General features: G+C 37.0%; 1 protein-coding gene across 6 annotated transcripts in view; it reads right to left on the bottom strand.

Moving 5' to 3' along the window:
• Window positions 1-19,024, bottom strand: part of CAMK4 (calcium/calmodulin dependent protein kinase IV) — a 271,304-nt gene that overhangs the window by 112,094 nt on the left and 140,186 nt on the right. For 4 of the 6 annotated variants that reach the window (XR_948303.3, NM_001323375.2, NM_001323374.2 and 1 more), the window contains 2 exons: window positions 7,881-7,943; window positions 5,851-5,933 (listed from right to left, as the gene is read on the bottom strand). The exons of 1 other annotated variant lie outside the window; for it this stretch is intronic. Coding sequence is in view for 3 of the 5 variants with exons in the window: in NM_001323375.2 (NP_001310304.1) it covers window positions 5,851-5,933; window positions 7,881-7,943 (146 nt within the window). In the remaining 2 variants the exon portion in view is untranslated. The remainder of the gene's footprint in view (window positions 1-5,850; window positions 5,934-7,880; window positions 7,944-19,024) is intronic. One more of the 6 variants, NM_001323377.2, reaches the window with a different exon arrangement.

Here is a 19,024-nt window from a genome sequence, read left to right as displayed (position 1 = left end):
TAGCAAAATTATATACTTTGGAATGTGACATACTTGAGTCCAATCTTATTTAATTATTATTAGATCATATATAAGCTGAATGACCTAACGGAAGTTAACAGACCTCTCTGATCCTCAGTTATCTTGTCTATAAAATGTATATATCAAAGCCTACTTTATATATGTGTTGCTCTAATGATTAAATAGTATCATGTTAATAAATTGCCCTGCATACTCTGCCAGCAACCCAATAGGATCTCAAAAATGTTCCTCATTATATTCACTAATTATCCTTTCTGAACAATCACATTTTACAGAATCACTCATTAGATAATTACATTGATGACTAATTTCTGATACAAAGGTCTTCACAAATGCAGACTTTTTCTAAGTTTGTTAAATCCTAATACCAACCATACTACAACTCCAGAAAGACTGGGACAAGAAACAGCCTCAGTTCCATTTCTCAAACCTTTTTCTAATAGCAATGCCCTGAAAATTCAATTTGTTTCCACCAAGAATGAGAGATCTAGAAATGCTGAAGTACAGATTACTATTAGGACTCATATAGTAGGACTGGAGGTGAGGTCTTATGACCTATTAATAACTTTTTAAGTGTATGCTATGGAAAGATATGGATAATAATACCTCAAAAAAGGTGAAGAGAGAGTTATTGAGTGGGCTATATAGATACATAGGTTTGCACAGGACCAATCAATACATCATGGATTTTCCATGTATAAACAGATATTTATTTTCTTGGAAATGATGTGCAAGAGACAAACTGGACTTAATAAGAAAGAAAGTGAGGCCCTAAAAGAAGGAAAGGATTGGATCAGAAGACAGTCTGGTTGCCTCGACTGGGAAGATCATTACTAATTCTGTTTTCATATTTGCATAGTGAGTATACTGCTTTTCACCCTGCTTGCTCAAATAGGCTGACTTTTTAAATCAGGAAAATACATTAGTGTCTGTGAAAAAAATTTAAAACCGTATGTGAATTTTTGCTCTCAGCAATGGTGGGTCAGACAAGCCTCCAGGTAAGAAAAATAAAAACAAACTCAATAAAATAAAAAAAATCTATTTGAACAAATCAGAGAGTTATCAGGTGTGATGGTAATATTGAGTGTCAACTTGATTGGATTGAAGGATGTAAAGTATTGTTCCTGGGTGTGTCTGTGAGGGCGTTGCCAAAGGAGATTAACGATGAACTGGGAGATGCAGACCCACCCTCAATCAGCTGCCAGCATGGCTAGGATAAAAGCAGGCAGAAGAACGTGGAAAGACTAGACTGGCTAAGTCTTCTGGTCTCCATCTTTCTCCTGTGCTGCCTTTGAACATCAGACTCCAAGTTCTTCAGCTTTCCGACTCTTGGACTTACACTAGTGATTTGCCAGGGGCTCTTGGGTCTTTGGCCACAGACTGAAGGCTGCATTATCGGCTTCCCTACTTTTGAGGTTTGAGAACTCAGACTGGCTTCCTGGCTCCTCAGCTTGCAGGTGGCCTTTTGTGGAACTTCACCTTGTGACTGCGTGAGTCAATTCTCCTAATAAACTCCCCTACATATATACATCTATCCTGTTAGTTCTGTCCCTTTACAGATCCTTAACTAATACACTAAGGAAGGGAAGGATTTAGGAATCAAGATCCAGAAGAGAAGAAAAACCCAGCAAAGCAAACCTGCCATCTGATGCCTCTGATTTCCTTCTGAAGTCATTTACTTATTCCAACACAGCAGCTGACAGGCGGAGAAGGTGAATAAAGTTTCTGGCAATTACACAGAGCTAAGGGTACAGAAGTTGACATTGAGGGTCTGCCAAGTAAGAATAGCCCTGGTATAATGCCCTGGCTTAAAGTTGAGACCTTCAAAGAGCAAAGCCTTGTGAATAAGACTTGACAAGAAGTATACCAGCCATTAGGAAGCCCAGCTTTGAATTAGCCTAATATCTGATTGCATTAAAATGATCTGTTTGTTAACCTTAAATGCCCACCACAACAAAAGAAAATCTCCTTTTTTGGAAGGTAACAGCATTCCAGGTCTCAAATTCTAAAACCTTTTACACATAATGTTTGGCATTGGAACAAGCCTAAACAGGCAAGCAAAAACACAGAAAGAAATGGATCATATCCTTTGCAGGGACATGGAAGGAAATGGAGGCCATTATCCTTAGCAAACTAACACAAGAACAGAAAACCAAATACCGCATGTTCTCAATTATAAGTGGGAGCTTAATGATGAGAACACATGGACACATAGTGGGGAAAAACACACATTGGGGCCTTTTGAAGGGTGGAAATTGGGAGAATGGAGGGGATCAGGAAAAATAACTAATGGATTAGTGGATATTAGATTTAATATTTGGGTGATGAAACAATCTGTACAACAAATCGCCATGACACACATTTACCTATGTAACAAACCTGCAAATGTACCCCTGAACTTAAAAGTTAAATAAAAATAAAATTCTTTAGGAAAAAGTGATAAAACAAAAAAAGAAAAAGAAAACAGAAAAAAAACCCATGACAATGTTTACAAAATTCAAAACTATACTTAGATACTGGAGTTATCTGACAAAAATCAAGAAAAAATACTTTTGATTTAATTAGAAGACAGTAAGGATATTGCTAAATTTGCTGTCTTAAAATATAGTCATTTTTGAGGGAAAAAAACTTCGAAACTTGCTCTTAAAGCAAAACTCACACCTTGTCCATTTCAATAATTCAATGAAAATGATGTTGAGGTTTTAAGAGTTGAGACCAAACTGAGAACGGTTAAACAGAAACTTCATGGGAGCTTTCTTCTTCTCATGATGTCATAATTGTGCAAATTTATTTATGTTTTAGATTTTTCCTGGGCACAACAAATCATGGATTTTATTCCAAAATTTCTAATAAACTGTCCTATGTAATTTACTATTTAAATTCTACATAAAATAGCAGATTCTACTTGGATTTTGACTATGTTTAATTTTTATAAGCATTATAAATAGATTTTTTGCTAATTAAATACAACCTTTTTGAGTATAATTGACTCATATGATTATCTCTTCAGCAATTACTCCCCTAGTTCATTCATTATGTACTATTAGAGTCATCATTAGACCAGGAATGAATTCTTATCATCACAATTAAGTAAATTTGTTTTGACCTAAGTACAAAAAAAGAGATCATGTTACCTTTTAACTCTCAAGAAAGAAATCAATACATTGGATAATAATGCAGAATGTATTTTCAGCTTGATAAAATTTAAAGATAACTGCAGAATTAAGTAACTTAATGGAGAGACCAAGTTCATATCAGCTAGGTCAATGTTGTAGACCACAACATGCAAAGGAAAAGAGTCTATCTTTTAAAACCACTAAGAGTTGAGTGCTTTACTGGCTGTATGCCATTCTTCAGAGGTTTTCTGTTAAATATGAATATTTCATCCACTTATCTCTCCAAATGAAATTTATCAATAGCATTTACTTTTTCCATTTTTAGCTATAGCTGAATTAAATTTCATCCTAAATTCTTTCATGGAAGAAAGGTTGGGAAGAAGAGAAGGAGAAACCCATGATTCCCAATTAACTCAAGCCAATAGAGGTAGGTAAGTAAACAGCAAACACTATTAGTAGATGATTGCTTCAGTGTGGCATTCCTGTCCTGCAATTATTTATAATTTAAAAACATGAGAGTTCTCACTGATAGACCATAATTAGCAGAGAAATATGCAAGGTCTCCTTAGAGAGAGCTCATAGCTCCAAAACCAGCAGCATCTGACTATAAACTGCTCTATTAATGTAACTAAAGAAGGAATACATCCATAAAAAAGTCAGCTAAAGAGGTGTTGAAAAAGGAGCCATTATAGGCATATTGTGGCAATACCCAAATTAGCTAGGCCAGGAGACTCTTGCTTGAGGACATGGGAACATGTGAACAAGAGTATCTTCATAGTGGATTAGAGCCATCTAAGCTTTATTAGCAACATAAAGCCACTTCAAATTTGTTCTAAGGTTCAGAGAAGTTAAGTAAATTATTCTAGGTTAGTTAGTTATCTTTCAGTTGTAGAGTCAGGATTCACAACTGTGAGTCTTTCAAAAAAACAACTGCTGCCAGAACTGTATGGCTTTAAGCTACTGATGCTTACTTCCTTCAGCTGACTTATTATTCTTAAAATGTGAAAATAGTCAAAATGTTATAATGTTTAAAGTCTAATAATATGTTGAACCTGCTCTAAGGAAGTGTCAACATATATATGAACAAAATTCAGATGTGTATCTGTTACACATACATATGTAGTTGCAATGAAGCTAGACCTTTTGCTCCTTCTCACCTAAAGATCCAAATTTTCACTGGGTAATGTTAAAAAGAGACAGAACCTTTGAAAAACAATATGAATACTTTTGAAAGCTCTTGAAGAGGCAGCAAATTTAACTGGGTAGAGTATGGGTGTGAAGGAAGGTGTCTTAGTCCATTTGAGCTGCTATTTAAAAATAGCATAACCTGTGTGTCTTATACATATCAAACATTTATTTCTCACAGGTCTGGAGGCTGGAAAGTCCAAGATCAAGGCACCAGAAGATTTTGTGTCTGGTGAGGGCCCGCTTTCTCATAGAAGGCACCTTCTTGCTGTGTCCTTACATAGTAAAAGGGGAAAGGCAGCTCTCTAGGGCCTCTTTTATAACGGCACTAATCTCATTCTGGAGGGCTCCACCTTTATGACCTAATGACCTCCCAAAGATCCCATCTCCTAATACCATTATCTTAGGGATCAAGATTTTGGCAAATGAATTTTGGGGGCACACAAACATTCAGACCCTGGCAAAAGTGAAGGAGTGTTCCTCTCTCAACGCATTCAAAACTAATCCCCTTTAGATATTTCTCCTCAGAGTCCATTCATTGTAGCAGTTGTTCATTCATTCATTCAGCAAATATTTATGGAGCATTTGCTGTGATCCAGGCACTCAGGGTACATCAATGGTTCCCTCAGTCTCTTCTGTCTTCCCCATAAACTGCAGTCTACCTGTCTCTTGCCCCATTTTTTAACCAAAACTTTTCCATTCACGCATGGCTTCTTACCATTTCTAATATATGCCTACTTAGTCTCTTTGTCTTCTTTAAAGTCCATTCTTTTTTGATTACCTGATGAACACAGCAAAAGGCTCTCAAGAGCCCATCAGGACAAATACAGAATTCTCCTAAGAGGGTGGGGAAGATGGAACAACTATAGAAACATAAAGTTTGTGTGTCTTGTACAAATAGTTTGCATATATTATGCTCTGCCAGATTTCCAGGCTCCAACCCCCACCCCCACCCCCCTCCATTCTCACTCCTCTGCTTTGAAAGATGAACATATGAACAGGAAACCAAAGTTGGCAATAATTGGCTATAACAGAACATGTTTACTTTGCAACATGGAACTCTTTACACAGACTTCTAAAGAAAATAAGCTTAAAAATAATCATTTGAAGATTATTGAGTTTTATGAGCTTTTGGATCATAACAGAGGACAGAGTACATGTTTAATTTTTTATAATTTTCAAATATTTCAAATATTTTCTTAAGATATTCTCATAAATCTTACTATTTAGTTTAGATTTAATTTGATTTTAGACATTCTATCTTTTTATTGAGGAGACAAATATTTGCAAAGATAAATAGATATTATAGTGTTCCTCTTTTTACTCACTAAATATCTCAAGTTTTCATGTACCTACATCTTACCACTACCCACCTTCCTTCAACATTCTTCTTAAGACTTTTTTTAGTAGTATTTATCAACAAGTATAATCTGTCATTATAAAAAGTTTCAGGAGAAATGTCCTTTAGATTATTTTTTGGTGGCCAAAAGCAAACCTTTCTGTGGTTATATTTCCAGAACCAACTCACCTATCAAACAGTTCTCCTCCTGTGACGAGTTCTAGGACCAGACTGATTTCTGTAGGGGTTTCAAATATCTCTTTAAGTTTTATCTAGGGAAAGATATAAAAAAAAGAATATCACAAATTTCTTATTCCATCTTTCTTGGAAATAGCTAATACTATGGCTAAAACAACATTCTGCAGTAGTAATATGTTGGATCACTGTTAATAAAGTTTCCTCATTCTTTTATCAGCTAGCTATTTCTCACTCTCTTTCTGGGTTGTTGATTTTATCAGTTACCTCATTTTTTTCAAAGTTCCTATAAAATGTTTACATTTTTCCTTTTGTCAGTTGAAAGATGTCTGCCTTGGAAACACTTTCTAACTTTTCTAAAACATCCCAACTTCTGAATTGTTCAAAAATCAAAAACAAAAACAACACAACTTCCTAAACCATTTGAGGCATCAAGGTGGCTAGAGGTACAAAATGCCTATTTCTTCTGGGAATTACAAAACTTAAAATTAGGGGTCTGCGGCAGGGTAGGACCAGCTTAAAGTCGGCCTATATGTAAAGGGTATATCAATCAATAGTTAAAAAGCTGTCAGTGGGTGAAGGAATCCTCAGAAAAGCAGTGGTGACAGTGACTTGATTGAGCATACCATGGTCTTCATCACATTCAGCTAATCCAAGCAGTTTTATATATTTTTCTCCATATATACGAGAATCTAGTAGCCAGGACTAGTCTACACTTGAGGAAAATTCTACATTGACTTATCTTTGTAGAGAAGAGATGGATAATGTAAAAGTGGTGATGGAGTGTGGGAGATTTTATTAACTGCTTACCCAAAGCCCTTTTCTCCCTACTTTAATATAAACAGAACTCTGATTTGTTCAGAGATGGTATCTAGCCCCAAATTGTGGATCATGAATGGTCTTAGCCACTAATTTCACAGCCCCCATGCAGTTAAGGGTAATCTTGTGACTAGCTCCAGCCAATAAAATTTGAAGAGACTTCCACTGCCATAGTTTCTGAGAAAGCTTTTACTCTTCTTATGAGAACTGGCAGCTGAGATCCTTCCATCTTCTTCCTATTTTGAATATAGATGTGATGACTTGCAAAAATTGTGGAGCAGCCATGTTAGGCCCAGGAGGGAAAAGCATGAGGATGAAAGTCAATGCACTGAGGATGGCAGAACCAAGGATGGTATTTGGGTTCTGGAACAGCAGCACCGGCGAGCTGAGCCAGAAAACTGCCTGATTTTTGTTGCTTGCAACATATGGAAAATATTTGTTTAAATCATCCTATTCAAGTTTTCTGCTATTTACAGCTGAATGCTTCCCTAACTCATATGTTAAGTTTTGAGCACTTTGCCTGGAGTCTAAGCGTTGCAGGCCATCTCCCTGGACATCACAACTTCCTCAGAGAAATGGGCAAAAATGCTTTCTTGAAGTAGATGGCTTAATTCATAAAAATAACTTGCAACCTGGAAAATAATTTTATTCTTTTTCACTTCATCAGTTCAAGAACGCTTTTTACTAGATCTTTGCCTCAGAGGCTGTCTGGACAAAGCCTGAAGCAGAGCTTCTGAGGACATTTTATTTTCTGCATTCAAGTACATCATTTATTTGCATCTTCACATTGTTCATGAAGCAGATCCTCTCTCAAAGCAGACTGAAATTACTTGGGAAAGCAATGTATTTTCTTCACAGGCTTTTTCAGTAATGGAAAATTAATAAGATAGGCACACAAAAGAAGGAAAAAGCCAGTGTTTTGTTGGAGAAAAACAAAACTCTTCGATTTTTATCCTTTTATGAATGAAAATAAAGATGGCGTATATTGCTAATTTGTCTATTTTGGAACTTTTTCAGAGGTATTACTTGTAAGACTTATTCAGCCAAAGGATTGAAAAGGTGATGAGATGAGGACAAGAGCTAGCACATAGTAGCTATCAGTGGTGGGAGAATCCCTTCTCATTATCAGCACTGACAGTGAAGGACAAAGGTCCCTTTCTCTAGCTCTGGCAATCATTTGAAATAGTAGGTTAAAAACCACTTACAATGTTTGGATGTGAGAGGCGAAGAAGAACTCCTATCTCAGTTCTTACGATTTTTTTGTCCACCTAAAAGGCAAAATAAAAGAGATAAACTGAAAGAAACTCCCCCCTTCATTGTAGCAGAGAAATAGAAACAGCAATAACTACCTGGGTGAATCAGGCAATTCGCAGAGCCTAATTCCTTAGCTTTTGTGTGTCTCCTTCCTCTCTTTCTTTTTCAGCTGCACATCCTTTCTCTCTGCTTCTGACGTAACATACAGCCAGAAACTAGTATGCATCACAACTTGTCAGACTCCTAACATGGCATCTTCCCCACTTTCCTATCAAAAGTCATCACTGTCACAACTAATGCCCAAGCTCATTTCAACCTATCCTTCTTCTTTGTCTTCCTTTCTTATATGGAAGTCTGTCTAAACCCCAGTGGAGCCGTCAATCACTTCACTTGTCCTTCTCACACGGATGTAGCACAAAACCCAACCTACCCAACAAGAGTATCCTGTTCCCTGGCCATTGTGATAGGGTTAGGAATATTCACCAGACCCAAGTCATCCCAGTCAGGAGCCTCTCCAAAAATTTTGCTCAAACAATCAAGAAATAGGTATTCCATCTTTCTCTGAAATTATGAGAGCAAAAGAGGATACAGTCTGCTTCTAATAGTGAACAGTTTTGATAGCATATGGAGACCACTTTATTAAAATGAGGCCAACACAGGAAAAAATATTGCTGAGTTATGAAGAGGACTGTTAATACAATTTAAGCCCCTAGATTCAGTTATGCTGGTTTGCCTTTTGAACTTCTAATTATATGAGCCACTACATTTCCTTTTTCTGTTTAAGTTATCCAGAGTTAGTTTCTGTTGCTTGCCATGAAAGAATCCTAGTTAGTTCACCACTTGGTCTCTTTGTTTGGGACAATGGCGATTTAGTTCAGGATATTCCAAAATTAGGGATATTCTCTCTAGCCCAGTGATTGACCCCTTTAATCACAATGAGTTGGCATTTCAGAGATCTAAAAGTTATATAGTAGACATAAACGTTTTAATGTCTTCCTCTCCAACAAAATTTATCAAAACAATCGATAGATATGATACCTGCACTCTTACTATGGTTTCTGCCATTTGAGCTGTCCCGAACCTTTGAACTAGCAAGAGTTTACATGGTTTTAGAAGTGAAGAAGTTTATGTGCAATTCACAGCCAAACTCTATAGGCATATCCAAGAGACTGCTTCAAATGGGAAATGGGTTCTCCCCTTTCAGTTACTTCTCCTGAGGAAGAAAAGGTTGACCTCAGGAGAAATCCAAGCGCATATCAATGGTGATAACCAATCACAACTTTCAAGACGACAGAGAACAACATCCAGTCATTTAATTTTCATTCTTTAATGAAAACAGTAACCAAAAAGGATGCAATCTTTAAAAAGGAATGAATACTCAAAAAAATTTTTCCAACTTTATATGTTCTTTTTCTTGGTTGCAACATATAAATATATTTTACATTTATTTTATCTGGAAAATATAATTTTGCCAGACCCTAGAGTACCTCATTTAAAGAAAGCACGCACCATTTCTAAATGCCTTTAGTTTTTATGAGATGGAAAAATGTTTACAAGGAGATCTTAAGGAGTTCCCAGCCCAATGAGAGATTTCTCCAGAGTTTATTTCACCCGTATACGCAATAAAACATTAAATTGCCATAAAGTCATGGTAAACTGCAATAAAAGTTTTGGTTATTCATACAGGCAATCAAGAGGCATGGGATGTTTTAATATATTCTTGCTAAAGAAAGTCAAGCTATTAAAATCAATTTGCAATATTACAAAACAAAAATGTATTTTACTTTTGTTGTTTGGATGCCAGTCTGTGCAACCCAGCATACTTCTTAAAATATTTACAAACATCCCACATAAAAATGCAATATCAGCTATAAATTCTTAGAGGAGAGGATGAATATATGATCTGTACATTTTAATACCTGACAGTTAATATGAGGCCATTATATAACAGGGAAGACTCACTGTGAGCAGAGAAAAGCAACCTAACTCTAGTGACTGTACATCAAATTGATAGGCTCTGGAGCTTTTGCAGCAAAGGAGTAAAGGAAGACGCACATCTTGATACATCCAGTGCTAACCCAGGAACTTTGGAGGCTGTTTCAGCAGTCTTCCACGGACACTAAACCATAGCTACTCTGCATGATTCAGACCATGTATTGATCAAAGCTCTTTCAGTTTCAAGTAACAAACACGCAGCTCAAACTCACGTAATAAGTCCCAAATGGTAATTTATTGGCACATGTAACTGGGAAGTCAGAGTAGATCTATCTGCAGACATAACCAAATTGAGAGGTTGAGACTCAGATAATCTCTCTCTCCCCTGTGCACGTTTGTGTCTTTGTCTATGTCTCTCCTTTCCAAACGGCATGAAACATGGCCACAGAAGCTCCAAGTCTGTATTTCTAAGATAAGAGAGATGCTCTCTCTCAACATCTATCTAATCTCAAATAGTATTATCATTAGCCTTGCTTGATTTATGTGCCTATTCCTGGATGTAGGAGAAATATAACCATGACAAGGCCAAGAATGGGTCATAAGCGCTCTCCTTTGACCATGGTTGAGGGAGATGGGAGGCTTGGTTCCCTCAAATAGTGAATGTTGTCAGACACTGAGGACTCCGTTATTGTTTGCTTTTAGTATTTGTTCCCTTCATTTCACATTTTCCTAAGATCCTGAAGTATTACTCTCTCAGTTTCTTCCATGTCCCAGACTAATCGATCAGTAACTAATAATTATTCATTCATAAGAACTCTTGCCATCAGTTTATTTCATATTCAAAGTTTTGACCATTTACTAGTAACCCAAATGGGCCCTACCAAATAGCAATTTAGAATTTTGCCTAGAAACTCTTTTGAATCCATACTGAAAGCTGATGTAGGAGCAATCACTTAGCTGGTGAACGAACCTAGCAGGCTACCTAGTTTTGTACCTCAATTCTGCTGTTTTCTCTACTTCTGGGCAGCAACCTTGTCAATTGTTTTGATGTCATTGGTGATATAATTTGAAGGAAAGTAAAGAAGCCTAAGAAAATGATGGCTGTAGCCAATATGAATGGTTGGAATAGAAACTGGGATAAATAATTTACTGACATCTATGTGCTTTGTGAGGCAGAAGAGAATCATAACCTCCATCATATTGTCAAAACTTCTAAATCGGAGAATATTAAATAGATAAAATTTAAAAACCAAAAAATGTGTTTTATTGAACTGGAAATTTTAGAATGTCTGAGTAATTTCTTTAGTTTCTATGTAATGAATGCACAGTACACAGTAAGGATGGGTCTAAAATAGGTTTTATGCACTCAGCCCCATGTTAAATAATTGGGTCACAGGAAAAAACAAACGAAATATGGTCCTTCCTAAAGTAAGATTACAATCTAATTTGGGAGATGCAACTCATCTACATAATGTTATCAGAAGATAGTGAAAGATGGAAGAATGCAAGTTACAAATGAATTTTGTTTTAAAACTTCCATTGTTCAGTGGAAGATAGCTTTTCTGAGTCAACTGCTGCTAATATTAAAACAGTGGGCTTATTCTAAAAGACTTTTGACATTACCAGTTCTTTAAGAAATCACACTGTTGCTAATACAAAATGGAGAATGTTTTGCTAGAGTGTGCACCAGGTACATGGAAGTAGTGTAAGATATGGGTTGCTGGTAGCCAGTCAGTGGTGTCAGGCAGCTCAATCATGGGGTATAGACAGCATGGTCTAGGAGGTAATAGAATGGCAGCAAAAGACTCTAAAAGTTCTTTCGTTTAGTGAAAAAAGCATACATTTTGTAAAAATTATCAAGCAAGAGACAAACACTTATACCAAATGACAAATGAGAGATCTTTGAAAAAGAGAGGCGTTACTAGAACAGTCAAATGGCATTGTCATCTTCTATTTCAGTTTCTGCAGATGCTATTAAAACATAAGGATACACGTTGTTTTTGTTTTTGTTTTTTGAGATGGAGTCTCGCTTTGTCACCAGGCTGGAGTGCAATGGTGCAGTCTCGGCTCACTGCAACCTCTGCCTCCCAAGTTCAAGCGATTCTCCTGCCTCAGCCTCCTGAGTAGTTGGGACTACAGGTGTGCGCCACCACATCCAGCAAATTTTTGTATTTCTGGTAGAGACGGGGTTTCATCATGTTGGCCAGGATGGTCTCTGTCTCTTGACCTCGTGATCCACCCATGTCGGCCTCCCAAAGTGCTGGGATCACCATCTTCTCTTCAGGTCAACAAGGATTTCCTTGCTAATATCAAATAAATGTATTTGTCACTACTGCACAATGCTTTAAAGAAAATTTTAAGGACATAGGTGTTCCTAAATTAAGATTGTTATACTAGAATTTATTTTTCTCACTATATATTTGGGTTTTTGTAATACAGGTTTCTCCCACTCCCACACCCGCCATTTTTCAGATATTTCTGATCAATGTAAAGTGTGATAGTAGAATCCTTTAATTTTTTCACATTATATATTTATATTAAACAAATATTTTCTAACACAAATATGCATTCTGAACAAATTTACCTATTACCATGTTGTATAGGGCATATTACATATTAAAATGCTATTTCTTTTTAGCTCTTTGAGAGTTAAATGATCTAAAGTTCAATGATCTAAACTCAAAAAATACTCAGAACAGGCCAGACTGCAAAAAGTCTGGGCTAGCAAACTTCTGGTAAAATCATTTGCTTTTAATTCAGAATTAATTTTTCTATGAAAACATTTCTTAAAAAGGTAATTATTTTTCCACGATACTCCACATCATCATTTCTCAATTTAAAATATGGTCTCAGGGTGACTGCAGGTTCTTGAGGCCCTTTCAGGGTATACGTAGGGTTCTCCCTTTTCCAGCTGCATATCTGAGTAAAGTGAGACTTTTTCCACATACAGTCAGCCCTCCATATCTGTGGGTTCGGCATCTTCTATTCAACTAACCATGGATGGAAAATATTTGGGAAGTAAATCCCAACAACAATAAAAAATAACACAACAATTAAAATATTCATATAAAAATACAGTATAACAACTGTTTACATAGCATTTACATATTAGGTGTCAGAAATAACCTAGAGATTATTTAAAGAATATTAGAGCACGTTCATAAATGATGTGCAAATACTATGCCATTTTATAGTATAAGGGACTTAAACAGCTGTGAATTTTGGTATCTGCAGGGGTCTTGGAACCAATCTCCCATGGATACTGAGGAATGACCGTACTTCAAACAAAACAACAAATGGCAACAATTGAATGCAAAACTTTGTGAGAATCAAGCTGTGTTCGATTAGATCAGATAGTAAAGAGATTTGCAAAACAATGATACTCTTCTCATTAAATATTTTTTATTTTGAAAAATATAGACATTTTAATTTAATTGTTATTTATGTTAAAATATAATGGGTTTATTGTAATTTTAAAAATTAGTAAATTTAAAAATATATCAATTTTAATCTCTCATACAGCAAATATGCGTAGCTATTTTGAATTCTCAATAATTTTGTATCAGCTGGGTGTAGTGGCTCACGCCTGTAATCCCAACACTTTGGGAGGCCAAGGTGGGTGGATCACTTGGAGCCAGGAGTTTGAGACCAGCCTGGCCAACATGGTGAAACCCTGTCTTTATTAAAAATACAAAATTAGCGGGGCATGGCAACACATGCCTGTAATCCCAGCCACTCAGGAGGCTGAGGCAGAAAGATCACTTGAACCCAGGAGGTGGAGGTTGCAGTGAGCTGAGCTTGTGCCACTGCACTCCAGCCTGGGCAACAGAATGAGACCCTGTCTCAATAATAATAATAATAATTATTATTATTATATTATTATTATTTTGTGAGTAGAAAGGGCTCCTAAAGCCCAAAACTTTGAGAGTCAGTACTCCAAAAAATTTAACATTATACATTTGAAAACAGAATAAAAAGAAGAAAAAAATTCTAGTAAAAATAATTTAAATGAAAGAAAAATGTCAATATAGTCTCATTTCTGCTTCTCTGAATGCTGGGGCCCAGGATAAATAATGTGCAGGGCATAGTTTGGTGGAGGCTGAGAAGGGTGAAGCAAATAAGAATCTCCGAAGAAGGAACATGGAGAAAAGTAAGGCTAAAACACTGTCAATCCAAAGAGAGTAAACTAAGCAACAAAACCTGATTTACGAGTCTAAGTAATGATGACCAAGGAAACCAGCAGAGGGTAATTTTGAACAAAATGGAAATGGACAGCTATATAGCTAAGAAGCCAAGGATAAGACCATACTGAAGCCAGGAAATCCTTCCCAGAAGGATAAGCTGAGGGTCACCTGTTGCTTTTTGGAAAGAAGTCTGAGAGCTTCTTAAATAGCCATACTCTCAGGGGCAGTTCTCTTTAAAGGTATCATGTCTTGGAGATCACACAAGTGTGGGTCTTGATAGCCATCTCCTTTCAACCTTTCCAATATTCTTCTCATTACAGAAGTTGGTGTTTTCCTCGCACTTCTAAATTCCCTTTCCAAATTCCTGGGGAGCTCTCACATTACCACTCAGAATGAATAATATTTTCCTAGAAAATAACTGTCAAGCAAACCACAAAAGTCAATGGGCAGCTATCTGAGCAGTCATTATTGCCACTTGAAATTAGCTTCCAAGTGTGACCATAATTAACATCTTGAGAAGCATCAACAGATGGCTTTAAGAAACCAACATGACAACAACACTGAAACCCATAAGACATACCTTTAGTATCTACAAAATACCTTGAAGAATAGCAGTTTTTCCTTACTAACAATTTACAATAAATATATATTTTACTAAAATCTTAACTTGGGCTAATTAGCCCAAGTTCCCTAGAAAAAACACATGAGGCATGGATCAACATTCCGTGCTTTACTTGGGAAACCCAACACAGTGAGAGTGAGGAAAAAGGGAAATGCAGAAAGGTCGGAGACACAATGCATTCAGCACCAAACATCCTAATGAGCTATAAAGACATACAGCAGGTCATATGGGCAGCTGCATCCAATGGGCACATGGTACTTCTCCAGAGACATTGTACCAGGCTACTACTCCTTGAAGAAGTCCATAGGAAGAAGGAAGAAGGGGGAATTCACCTACCCAGTAATTTCCTTTGTTTCCCATTGCTGAAATTTGGCCCATGGGTTAACTTTTCCATTTTTCTGGGAGGTATATGGGGTCTCATTGGCAGTCATTTGTGATGGTATATTCCTCCACAGGAGATGTCCTATCTCATTTAAACCCAAAAGTAGCTATAACAGCCAGAAATTTTAGGCATATGCTTGCTTGGCCTAACCTGCATGAAATAGCTAAAGGGCATTCACTTCCCTTGGCTTAGGTAGCAAGTAGGCAGAAAAAAATATAAGGTGGCCCATCAGAGTTTTGTCCAATCACAGTGCATTCTAGAGTTTTTATCTGTTACTAGGTGCTATGATTTGAATGCATCCTCCAAAAGTTCATGTGTTGGAAACTTAATTGCCATTGTATCAGTATTAAGAGGTAGGGCCTTTAGGAGATGATTAAGTCATGAGGTATGTGCTCTCATGAGTGATTTATTGCCGTCATCCTGGGAGTGAGATAGTTATGATGGGAGTGGCTCTTGATGAAAGGATACGTTCAGTTCTGTTTCTCTCTGTGACACAAGCACTTGCTTCAGGATCCTGCCCATCTGCCATGGGATGACCCCCTTCCAGAACTATGAGTCAAATACATTTCTGTTTATTATCTAGAATGCGGTATTCTGTTTATAGCAACAGAAAATGGACTAAGACACCAGGTAAACTAAATTGACAGCAGTGGACTCATAGTCTTGCTTCTCTAATTTATGGTGTATTATTGCTCATCAGAAAGAACCTTGTCTCCATTTATTTGTCATTGCTCTTGTTACTAACATGAAGTGGATAGCCATCAAATGGATTGGGCACCTGGGGTTTTTCTGTAATGCCTTGTCCTAGCTCCTTTACTTAAACGGCCCTAAATATTCTAATGGTCTTTGATATACTTTTTGAAGCTTATACACAGAAAAAAATTTAAAATTTAATAAAAGAAATTATACAGGTTTTTATAGTTTCAAGACTCCATGACACTCAAGATTTCTTAAAACTGAAAGAAATCCCAATTTTCCTGTCTGTCCCCATGGTAGGGGAGAAAGAAGTAGATAAGAGGTATAATTCTAGAGTAACACCAGAGAAAAAGGCTCCATCACTGGAATGGGATTGATGAAACACAGATCCTTCACTAAGATATGCAGCAAATAAACACTCTTGTGCTGGGACCAAGACTGTTGATGAGGAAAAGAGAAATAATTAAAAACATATGAAGAAAAAAGCAATGATGGCTTAAAGGAAAACCAGTTTCTGCTTTGTGGTAATTACAAATGGAGAAAGGGGGTGAATAAACTGGAGAATAGAGAGGACAATAACCAGACTTCTGTTAGATTTGAACAACCTGGCTATCTTAGATGTAGCCTATATCCAGACTCTGGAAGTTCAAACACTCTTGGAAAACTGGGGTGACCTGTGCAACTAAAGACTGCTGCTCTTTTTGTTTTAATCATTCAGGCAAGTAAAGCAGCATTTCCACAGAAAATGCTCAGCCTTATCTTATTTTCCTTGCAGAGATTAAGACTATAAATCTTGTTTTGTCTCTGTATTCTGTCTTTGGCTTCTTTGACTTATTTTTGGTATGAATGATGTCCAGAGATATTATGCTAAGTACATAATTGTGCTCTTCAAATCCTTTATGGAAACAAGCACAATATAAATCATTAATGCATAAATAAATAAGCAACCAAACATCTTTATGCTTTCCCAATGATTCCCTATGCATAACTTCTGCTTAATTTAGCATCCTATTTTTTGACATTCAACAAGTATATGTTGGCACTAACATGCTTGGTGAAAAATCTTGACCACTGGAGTTTTGTTAAATTCAAGAATGACAGTTTTAGTCTACAAGAATTTGAAAGCTAAGAACTTCTGTTTGAACACCCCAAAATCAAATGCAGGACACATACAAATATCGAGGTTTTCCTACATGAGGCTGGTACCTCCAATAAGTACAGAATTTTAATCAAGTCTGATTATTTATCTTTATCCTCTTGTTCTACCAGAAACCTGGGCATCTTATGACTGTCTCACATTTTTCAGCGTTCTCAAGGAGTGACTTGTTTTTGGTCCATGAAGAAATGTACCCCAAGACCTGGAAGCAGGATAGACATCCTTCTTGCTCCTCATTGCTATGCCCAAATCATTTCTCCTCCCTTCTTCCTCCAAAATCCCAGCTCCTTTGAAATGTCTTCCATCAGCAAATGCATCCTGCAACTCTACCTCATTGTAGTCATTTTCCCACCTCCCTTTCACTATTACACATTCCTATACTGAACATTTTAGCATGTATGTCTCCATCTCAACCATTATTCTCCATAATCATTCTTAACAACTTCAACTTTCACATGGATGGTTCATTCAACATTCTTGCCTCTCAGTTCTTTTACCACTTCCTCGATTCTTCCTTAGCAACTCATTTCCATGACAACATCTCAGGCCTTCTTGTTACCATCAACTGAACCACATCACAAATCTTGATTTCAAACATTACACTCTCTGATTTCTACTACCTATCTTTAAAGCTCCTACTTGGCTTAGATTCTATGGTCCACTAGTATATACTAATAATGCCTTGGCCCTGTCCATTGTGCTGAACTCTCCTAGTATTCTTCCTCTTCTTTTACACCGGCTCACTGCTCATCTTCCAGGAAGCCAGGATAGTCTCCACTGTTGGGTCCTTTCACTTGGCACTTGATAGTACTCTGTCTCAGATGCTCTTTTCCCAGATTTTTCAGTGTGAGTTTAGGCTCAACAAAGAAGAGAATGGAAAGGATCACTGCACAGGGTGGGTGACGGTTTAGAGGTGAGGGCAGCAGCAAGCATTGGATATGGTGTGCTGGAACAAGAAGGAGACTGATATTGTAAGGAAAACCAATACTCCATATTACATTTAACACTGACTAACATGAAGCCAACCTTGTTCTGATCAGTATGGGAAGACAGGCTGTAATCATCAGATAAGCTTGTCTTTGAGCATTGTAAAACCCAATATTTTATAGCTCTGTTACTAGCCACTTCCTATTCCCTGCAGACTCTAAGACATTGGGAAGAACAAAAAGAAAAAAGAAGGGATTTCCAATAGAGGAGGAAGCCCAGGATTGAAATAAGAGTCTAGGCAAAACAAGAGTGCCTCTGGGAAGCTTAACCCAGAAAGACACTTCTATTTCAGAACTTGAAGCCTTTGTAAGACACGTAGATTCAGAACAGAGCAGCATCTCCAAAGGGAGTTACCTCTCTCCCTTCATTCTTAGATTCTAAATACAAACCTATGTGCTTGCAGATACCAGAAATTCTTTTCACAGGAAACAGTCTTTTTATTTTGCAATGAATGAAATAGGCTTAAAATATTCCTGGGAGATATAACAAGCTAAACAAAGTTAATACAAAGAATTTGGCTGATGCCCGACTCTCAACAGAAAGAGGTTGGGCTTAGCAGAGGCAGGGAGAAGAGGAAAAGAACCTGATAGATAGAGCAGAAGAAGAATCTTCATGTCTTTACCCAGCACTTTTTTCTCTTGCTTCTTTTATCTGTATCTCCCTGGGATCTAGAACACACGAGCATGATCCTGATTAATAACTCTCATCTTTAAAAAGGTCTCTCAGTCCCTTACCATCCCCTCCCACTTCCAAAGCATATCTCTGCTTCCCTTCACAGAAAACCTCTCTATTGTTGCCTCTGCACTCTTTCTTCACTTCTTCACCTGGGAGTAGAGGAAATAAAATGGATTATTTCATGTCACCATTCTGGTCTGATTTCTCTCCTACTTTAAAGGCAACAGCAATGTTATAATATTTCCTAACTTGCCTCACTGCTTTGATCCTTACCCTTTATATTCAGTCCTTCTACACACAACATCCAGAATGATATCTTTAAAATGTAAATCAGATCATGTTACTCTCAGCTTAAATGCCTTTGTTGGAGTCCCACTGTGCTTAGAGTAAGTATAAACTCTTTGCCATAGACCTTAAAACAGGATGGCTTGGCCTCACCCTATTGGTCTGATGTCACT

Source organism: Homo sapiens, chromosome 5, assembly GCF_000001405.40.
Source record: "Homo sapiens chromosome 5, GRCh38.p14 Primary Assembly".
NCBI lineage: Eukaryota > Metazoa > Chordata > Mammalia > Primates > Hominidae > Homo > Homo sapiens.
The sequence above is the reverse complement of the archived record's forward strand: the minus strand, read 5'-3'. Positions and strand labels throughout refer to the sequence as shown.